The following is a 9,688-nucleotide window of genomic DNA, read 5'->3' on the forward strand; positions in this document are numbered from 1 at the left end:
TTTTAATAATTCGAGTCCTCCTCCCCTTTCTTTTTCAGGTTAGGTGAAGGTGTGTCAATGTTGTCGATATTTTCAACTAATTAGCTTTTGGTTTTGTTGACTATATCTATTATTCTTCTATTTTACTTCTTTATTTCTGCTCTGATTTTTATTCATTCCTTCTCGTTTCTTGCTTTGAGTTTATCTCACTCTTATTTTTCTAGGTTCTCAAGGTGAAAAGCTAGGTTATTAATTTGAGATCTTTCTTCTATTTTAATACAGGCATTTCAGTTATAAGTTTCCCTGCAAGCACCACTTTTGTGGCATCTCATAAGTTCGGATTTGTTACATTTTTATTTTATTTATCTCAAAGTATTTTCCAATTTCCTTTGTGATTTTTTCTTTGATTCATTGGTTATTTAGGAGTTACATTTTTAAATTTCCACATATTTATAAACTTCCCAATTTTTAAAAAAATTCTTTTTTATTTTATTATTTTATTTTGTTTTTTTGAGACAGAGTCTCGTGTTGCCCATGCTGGGGTGCAGTGGCATGATCTCAGTTCATTGCAACCCCCGCCTCCTGGGTTCAAGTGATTCTCGTGCCTCAGCCTCCTGGGTAGCTGGGATTATAGACATGCACCACCATGCCCAGCTAATTTTTATACTTTCAGTAAAGACATGGTTTCACCATGTTGAGCAATCTGGTATCAAACTCCTGGGCTCATGTGATCTGCCCACCTCAGCCTCCAAAAGTGCTGGGATTACAGGCATGAGCCACCATACCCGGCCTGTTCTATCCATTATTAAAAGTGAGATACTGAAGTATCCAATTATCATTATTGAAATGCTTATTTCACCCTGAAATTCTGTCAATTTTGCTTCACATATTTTGAGAATCTGTTGTTAGGTACATATATGTTTATAATTGTTATAACTTCTTGATGGATTAATGGTTTGATCATTATAGAATGTCCTTTTTTGTCTCTAGCAATGCTTTTTGTCTTACATTTGCTTGCCTTTTCCCCTATTATAAGCATTTCTAGAAAATATTAAATATATTACAATCATAGCACAAATCAGAAGTAATATGAAAATAAGGTAAACATTTGTTGTTCTGGAGTTCATTCATTTCGTTCATTTCCTAAGGTACAAATTATGTTTGTGCTAGAAATTTGGTAGTGTCATGCTTAAAGAGGCTAATGTGCATATCACCCTCTAGTGGACAATTATGTACATTGACACATCCTCTGTAGTTAAGTAAACATGAGGAGGCAGCCATAACCCTTAGTGATAGAATCATGAACTAGAATCCTAGAACGTTCTATATAAACCCCGTTCACACAACCAGATCCCAGTTGCCAAATTTGAAAGCCAACAAAACCTGGGGTTGGGAAAGACTCTATTTTGTTGTTGTAAGCCACGACTCTGGTACAAAACAAGGTGTCAACACCGTTAAGGGACAAGATCCTGGAGAAGCTCAGACCTAGAGATACCAGAACTAGCCTATAGGAGTTTTCCTATTTTCATACTATGTGGAGGAATATGACAAACCCAGCAGCGGGTCAGATTGCCATTGATGGCTGCTACTTGACTCCTACTGAACATATGATTGTTTTGCCAGGGTGCATGCTGGATCCATAAGTAATATTTTTTTCTCCTCTGGCTGCCTTGAAGATTTTTCCTTTAACTTTGCTTCTCATTGGTTTTACAATTATATTTTAGGGTTTTTTCTTTTTAATTTTTAGTTAGTTTTCCTTTATTGATTTTGGATTATTCTTGTCCATCATCTCTTCAAATATTCTTTTACTTCACTCTCTTCTTCTGGAACTCCAATTACATGTATGTTAGACAGTTGTTATTATCCCACAGCTGATCTCTCTCTCTTTTTTCTATTATGTTTAAATTCGATTCCTATTTACTTATTTTCAAGTCTGGTGATTCTTTCTTCTGTAGTTTCCAGTTTGCTAGTAAGCTTATTGAATGAATTCTTCACCTCTGCACCCATGTTTTCTATTTCTAGCGTTTCCACTTAACTCTGTTGTTTAGTTTCTGCATTTCTAATAAAATTCCTCATCTGTTAATGCCAACTTTCCACCTATTCCACTAGATCCTTTAACAAAGGAGTCCCCAACCCCTGGGCTGCAGATTGGTACCCGTCTGTGGCCTTTTAGGAACTGGGCCACACAGCAGGAGGTGAATGGTGGGTGAGAGAGCATTACTACCTGAACTCCACCTCCTGTCAGATCAGCAGAAGCATAAGATTCTTATAGGAGTATGACCCATATTGTGAACTGCGCATGTGAGTGATCTAGGTTGTGTGCTCCTTATGAGACTCTAACTAATGCCTGATGATCTGAGGTGGAACAGTTTCATCCCAAAACCATCCTTCCTCTTTCCCCAGTCTGTGGAAAAATTGTTTTCCACAAAACCAGCCCCTGGTGCCAAAAAGGTTGGGAATTGCTGCTTTAACATACTAATCATGGTTATCTTAAATTCCCTGTCCGTCAATTCCAACATCTGGGTCATCTCTGAGTTTGGATCTGCTGAATGCTTTATCTCTTGAAGATAGATTGATTTCTCCTACTATTTGTAGAATTTCTCTTCTGTGAGATTTAAATGGTCTTATGTCAGCTGGCAGGGAAAAAAATTCACCATGAGAGGAAAAGGAATCTACTGAGGACTGTGGTTCAATAGGAAGGCTTGAATATTTGTGTTCAAGAGCAGGGTCTGGTCAAAGTATATGACTGAAGCAGGAAGGGTTTCTGAGATCCAGCCCCCAGATTAGGCAGCCAAGCTTCAAAAAAAAAACTGGGTATGTGAATATAAAAATTGTAAAAGCCAATATAATAATTTTATTGTATAATAAAATATCAAGTCTAACACATCCTGCTGCTTGCACAGGGATTCAGACAAGCAGCACCATCACAGCAGAGAGCCATCTGGTTGTGTGGAATCAGCTGGGTTTTTTAAATTAATAGATTTCATTTTTTGGAACAATTTTAGGTTTACAGAAAAATTGAGCAGGAAGTATAGAGACTTCCCATAAACCCATTCCCCCCAGTTTCTCCTATTATTAACATTTTTCTTTGGTATGTAACATTTGTTACAGTTGATATAATATTATTAAATAAGTCAATTATTTATATTGAAGTTCACTCCTTGTATAGTCCTATGGGTTTTGACAAATGCATAATGTCATGTATCTACCATTTATTTCAGTACTATACAGAAAATAGTTTTACTGTCATAAAAATTTCCTTTGTTCCACCTATTCATTATTCCCTCCCCTCTAAACCCTTAGAAGCCACTGACCTTTTTACTATCTATAGCTTTGCCTTTTCCAGAATGCCATACAGTTGAATCATACAGTATGTAACTTTTTCAGCCTGGCTTTAGTCTAAAAAGTCTGGATTTCACTTATAATGCTCATTGAAGACTATTTGCATGTCTTTTCATGGCATGATAGTTCATTTTTTAATCATTGAATGATATTTCACTGTATGGATTTAACATAATTTGTTTATTCATGTACCTGTTGAAGGACATCTTAGTTGTATCCACCTTTCAGCAATTATGAAAAAAGTTGCTACAAAAATTTCTGTGCAGGTTTTTGTGTGAACATAAGTTTTCAATTTATTTGGGAAAAAACCTTGGAACGCTATTATTGGCTTGTATGGCAGACTATGTATACCTCTGTAATAAATTGCCAAATGGTCTTCCAAAGTGGCTGTACCATTTTGCAGTCCCACCAGCAATAAATGCAAGTTCTTGTTGTTCCGCATCCTCACCAGCATTTGGTGCTATTAGCTGGAACCAGTTTTTAACAGTGCTACAATGTGCAGCAACAATATTTTAAAATGAGAATCTACTAGGGAACAGATGCGATTTTGTTCTGACTTCCCTTTTGGTGTTTGGGAACAGAACTGACATCTTTGGATTTAGTAAGTTCTTTGGGTTCTTATGCCTTGTTGATAAGAAGAGTTTACAAATGGGTATTGGATATCTTTCTAATTTAAACAGGTGAGTACTTAAGTAATAAATTGAAAAAATAAGAATATTTTTGTAATTGTACTTTAAGCTATATAAGGAGGTAATGTGTCATACAACATTGGCTCTTGCTTGGAAAGGTATTTTGAACAAAGCAACTTAAAATGATCTCCTTTAAGAACCTACTTAAGGGCTGGGTGCGGTGGCTCACGCCTGTAATCCCAACACTTTGGGAGGCTGAGGCAGGCGGATCCCGAGTTCAAGAGTTCAAGACCAGCCTGGCCAACATGGTGAAACCCCGTCTCTACTAAAAATACAAAAATTAGCTGGCACATGCCAGTAATCCCAGCTACTCAGGAGAATGAGGCAGGAGAATCACTTGAACCTGGGAGGCGGAGGTTTCAGTGAGCTGAGATCGTGCCACTGCACTCCAGCCTGGGCGATAGAGCAAGACTCCATCACGGAAAAAAAAAAAAGAACCTAGTTAAAACTGAAGGTTTAGTAAACTGACTCCAAGTGAAACCATGACTATCTTTTATGTGCCTCTGGCCTGCCACTTCCCACCCTCTCTCCACTCTGAGACAGGAAGAAGTGAGTATGGGCATACCATGTTTTATTGAGCTTCAATTTATTGTGCTTCTCAGATATTGCACTTTTTACTAATTGAAGGTGTGGCAATCCTGCATTGAGCAAGTCTTCTTATGAATAAGCAAAGAAAGTGGTTTCCTGAGATGGAATCTACTTCTAGTGAAGATGCTGTGAACATTGTTGAAATGACAGCAAAGGATTTAGAATATTACATAAACTTAGTTGAAAAAGCAGTGGCAGGATTGACTCCAATTTTGAAAGTTCTACCATGTATAAAATGCTATCAAATAGCAACATGCACTACAGAGAAATCTTTAGTGAAACATAGTCAGTCAATGTGGCAAACTTCATTGTCATATTTTAAGAAATTGCCACAGCCACTCCAACCTTCAGCAACCACTGTCAATACCAAAGCAAGACCACCAGCAAAACAATTAGGACTCACTGAAGGCTCAGAGGATCATTAGCGTTTTTTAGCAATAAGGTTTTTTGAAATTAAGATATTTAATGTTTTTTCTAGACATAATGCTATTGCACACTTAGTAGACCATAGTATAAACATAACTTTTATATGCACTAGGAAACAAAAAATTTTGTGTGAGTTGCTTTATTGTGATCTTTATTGTAGTGGTCTGGAACTGAACCTGCAATATCTCTGAGGTACACCTGTTTGTATGTCTTAAGATAATTCCATCTGTTAGCTGCTTACTACTATAAATGACTCACCTAGAATTTGGCTTCTCAACTTAAGGTTTTAAGAGAATTTAAAGCTATGATTTAAAACTCTGTTTTTTCCCATTCATTCCAAAAGACAAGAAGGGAAAATGCCTTAACAATGTTCACTACCTTCAGACAGGTGAATATAAATGACATTTCCAACAAGTTGAGTAAATTAATGATGGCATTTAAATTTCAAGCTAAGAATAGTCGCCTTTGTGTACTGGGATAATAAGTATACAGTATTTCTTCATTTTTTTACATTTAAAAATGCAATCTCCTCTTTCTCCAGGTGGCACTTTTCTAGAAATTCAGTAGACAAACAATAATAATGATAAAACAGTGTTTCCCTGGTTCATATTCCACTCTGTGAATTACGGACTTTCCCATTCCATCCTTCAACACTATACCCCATCCCCAACACCACACATACACCTCAAATTCCCCCAATTCTGCCAACTCTGTATTCCAGGCACTAGCCTCCACCACTGAGAAAGAAAAATTGATTAAATGTTTGGAAATAAATGTAGGACATGTCACAGTTGTAGTGTTATGGAAGCCCCAAGGGATAGAGGGCACCGCTTGTCATTTGCCATTGGTTCTTTTCCTACCCCCATCTTGCTTTGTGAATGTCTCCTTCCCAGGTTGCCCTGTATGTGGGAGTATGGATTAGTCTGGCTGTCTGTCCAGGCTGTTTTGTCCTTCTCTTGCTATGGCATCCTGTCAGTCTTTGATCTGGACTGCAAGGTTAGTTAACTTCTACCCCCATTTATTTTACCAAACACTATTTATAAGATATAATGCTGTTCTGACTTGTGTTCCCAACGTCTAATAGAGAATCTTCTTATCTAGCTAAAGAGCAGGATCTCCTCTCCCAAGAACTCAGCATAAAACCCTCAAAGTAGATTCAGAGAACAATTTTTGTTGTTGTTGTTAATTGAGTTTGTGAACCTCTACTCTCTCTTGTGAATACTTCCCAAGAAGTCTCTCAGACCTGTATTCTAACAAACCCCTGCTGGTCTCTCCTAACACAACTTGATGGCCATATCTATACCACACATTTTGCATTCCACTTCATTCTGATAATAGAACTCCATTTTTTTCCCTTGGGGAGTTATCCTTTTCCATGTAATCTGAATAGTTTAGTTGGGCTGACTTCTTTCATGGCTTTTGTGTTTGATTAAAAATGGCTGACAGCCTGGAGTATGGCTCATGCCTGTAATCCCAGCACTTTGGGAGGCTGAGGCAGGTGGATCACCTGAGGTTGGGAGTCCGAGACCAGCCTGACCGACATGGAGAAACCCTATGTCTACTAAAAATACAAAATTAACTGGGCGTGGTGGCGCATGCCTGTAATCCCAGCTACTCGGGAGGCTGCGCAGGAGAATCACTTGAACCCGGAAGGCAGAGGTTGCAGTGAGCAGATATCGCGCCATTACACTCCAGCCTGGGCAACAAGAGTGAAACTCCGTCTCCAAAAAAAAAAAAAAAAAAAAAAAAAAAAAAAAAAAAAAAAAAAAAAAAAAAAAGCCTGACAATTATTTCTTACTCTTCCAGTTGAAAGAGGTCTAACTTCCCTATTCATGAATCTGGGAGGCCTTAGTGAGAATCCGAGACTTTTAAAACTAGGTCTGAAGAAGGTTTGCAGCTTCTACCCAGGGTTCTTGAATGACCCATTCTGAGGACCACTGCCTACTAGGTAAGAAAAATGACTACCCTGAGACTGCCGTACTGCCCAAGCTTCCACGTGAAAAGGTTTCCAGGAGAGAGAAACGTCTGGCCAGCTCCAGATGTCTCAGCTTAGGCACTAAATGTATGAGTGAAGAAGCCTTCTTGGTCATTACAAACTCTAGCAGTTGCAGTATGGAAGACTGGAAACCCAGCTATCAGCCAGGACCAAAGTCCCAGACATGTGGTCCTAGTCAAGATGTTTCCGTTCTCTCCAGCAATTTGGGACTCAGACATTGGAAAGCAAAAAATGAGGCATTGCTTCCATGCCCTACCCATATTCTTGACCCACAAAATCATGAGTATAATGAACTTGACACCATTAAATTTTAGGGCAGCTTGTTACACAGATAACTGGAACAGTTCCAGAGGTGGGTTGTTAACTCATATGCAGGTAATCAGAACAGTAAATCCACCCAGTCATAGTATTTGTTTCAGGACTGAGAACATGACCCAACTCTGGCCAGTTAACATTTCCATCCTCCCAGCTGTAGTGGATGGTTAGGATATGGGTTTGGGTTTGTTATTCAAGGTGGTTCAATGAAGTACTGTACTTGGAACTTTATACAAACTAGGACAGTCTGTAACATTGCTGAGAGGGTATTATATAAGCACAGAAAAAGAGAAAGTCATCATGCCACCACCAGCTAGCCTAAGAATGGAGGAGGGAAGAGCTTACCTAAGAAAACAGCAGCAAGAGATAGAGTAAGAATGGATCAGATAGCATCATTAAAGCCAGATCTACCTTGGACCTCTCAGATTAAAAAGCCAATGCCTTCTCTATTTTGCTTAACCCCTTTTTTTTTTTTTTTTGGCTCACCGTGGCTGGAGCGCAATGGCATGATCACAGCTCACTGCAGCCTCCAACTCCTGGGCTCAAGAAATTTTCTCAACCCAGACTCCTGAATAGCTGGGACTACAGGCACACTCCACTGTGCCTGTCTAATTTTCAGACTTTTTTTGTAGAGATGAGATCTCACTATGTTGCTCAGGATGGTATTAAACTCATAGACTCAAGTGATCCTCCTGCCTTGGCCTACCAAAGTGCTGGGATGACAGTCATGAGTCACCACATTGGCCTGTTTAAGCAAATTTAATTTTTATTGTTTCGTTAATGGAAACCAAAAGTGTACTAACTACCATGTATATGAATTCTCTTTATGGTTCAACTAGACTTCCTAGCAGAGGCCGTGATTATTTGTAATTTCTAAATTTTCCCTAACAAATATGTCTAATTTTATTAATGGAAATTTTCAAACTTTATTTTTTAAAATTTGAAGCAGAATCTTCATGTAATGGTAAAATATATAACAACTAATCTGGTGGTGGAGCATTATCATCACCATAATTTTTCTGACTAACAACCTCATTTTACCTCATTTCTGTAAAATGAAGAAATCAATGAAGGAAACTAAGCCAGTAAATGCTTAAGCAAGAATCTGAACTCATATCTGGTCCTAAATTCCATACTTTATACTTCTTGGAAACAACTTATGAGTTCTAAAAAATATGATAAGATGCCACATATTGGAACATAAAATCAAATGTATAGTTAGTACATATACAAACACCACAGAGTCACTTTGGTTTTCTGAAATTCTGGAGACACACACAATTGCAGAAGAAAATTCAATGCATCTGACTATCACCAAACCTTTCTGCTCTTTCTCTTGTACACTTCTTATTAATTTGAGGTTTGTAACTTCTTTTTGTGACGAAAAGTTTTTTTGAAATGTCATCATCCTGTGGACAATGGTTGAGATACCAAGTGTCAGGTAAGAAAAATTTGAGATGGGCCCCATCTCTCATTCCCCTTAGTTTATCCCAGGCCTCCACCATACACCTTTTTGTATTGACCTGTTTACTTCTCATTCAATAATGTAACTCTTCATAAGTTTTTAATTTTATTAAATTTTGAAATGATCACAAATTTACAGAAAATTGGTAAAGAGAGTACAAAAAACGTTTTCCCCTGTGCATTTGACAGTAAGTTGCTGACCTCATGCCCTATCACCCACAGATACTTAAGTGTGTATTACCTACAAACAAGGACATTCTCAACACAGCTATCCTCCAATCCTCAAAATCAGGAAACTGATATCAAATCTCAGATTCTATTCAAGTATTGCCAATTGTCCCCAATGTGTGTTTTTTTTTTTTTTAACCAAAAGATGAAGTTCAGAATCTCATGTTGTATCTGATGCTCACACCTATTTAGTCTTCTTTGGTCTGGAACAGTCTGGAATAATTCCTCAGTCTTTCTTTGACTTTTATGACTTTGGCAGTATTGTAGGTTATAGGCTACTCTATAGACTGTGTGTTAATTTAGATTTTTTAAAAGATCCCCCTAGATTTGTGTTCCACATCTCTGGCAGAAATACCACAGAATGATGCTGCATTTTTGTCGTGACATCCTGTCAGGAGCACGATACCAATTTCCAGTCACTGATGACATTCACGTTGATCGTATGATTCAGATGGTATCTGCCAGGCTTCCCACTACAATGTTACCCTTCTTCCTGTGCATAGAACACACTCACCTCCCTACCAAGAGAAATAATTCAGTCTCATCCAGTTACTGCATTCTGCTAAAAATCCAACATCTCTGGGTGATGCACAGTTGTGTCCAATATGGCTCTTCATGGTGGTTCTAGTAATTTGTCAACCAAAATACGAGTTATTAGCCT

This window comes from Homo sapiens, chromosome 8 (assembly GCF_000001405.40).
Source record: "Homo sapiens chromosome 8, GRCh38.p14 Primary Assembly".
In the NCBI taxonomy this organism is placed as follows: Eukaryota; Metazoa; Chordata; class Mammalia; order Primates; family Hominidae; genus Homo; species Homo sapiens.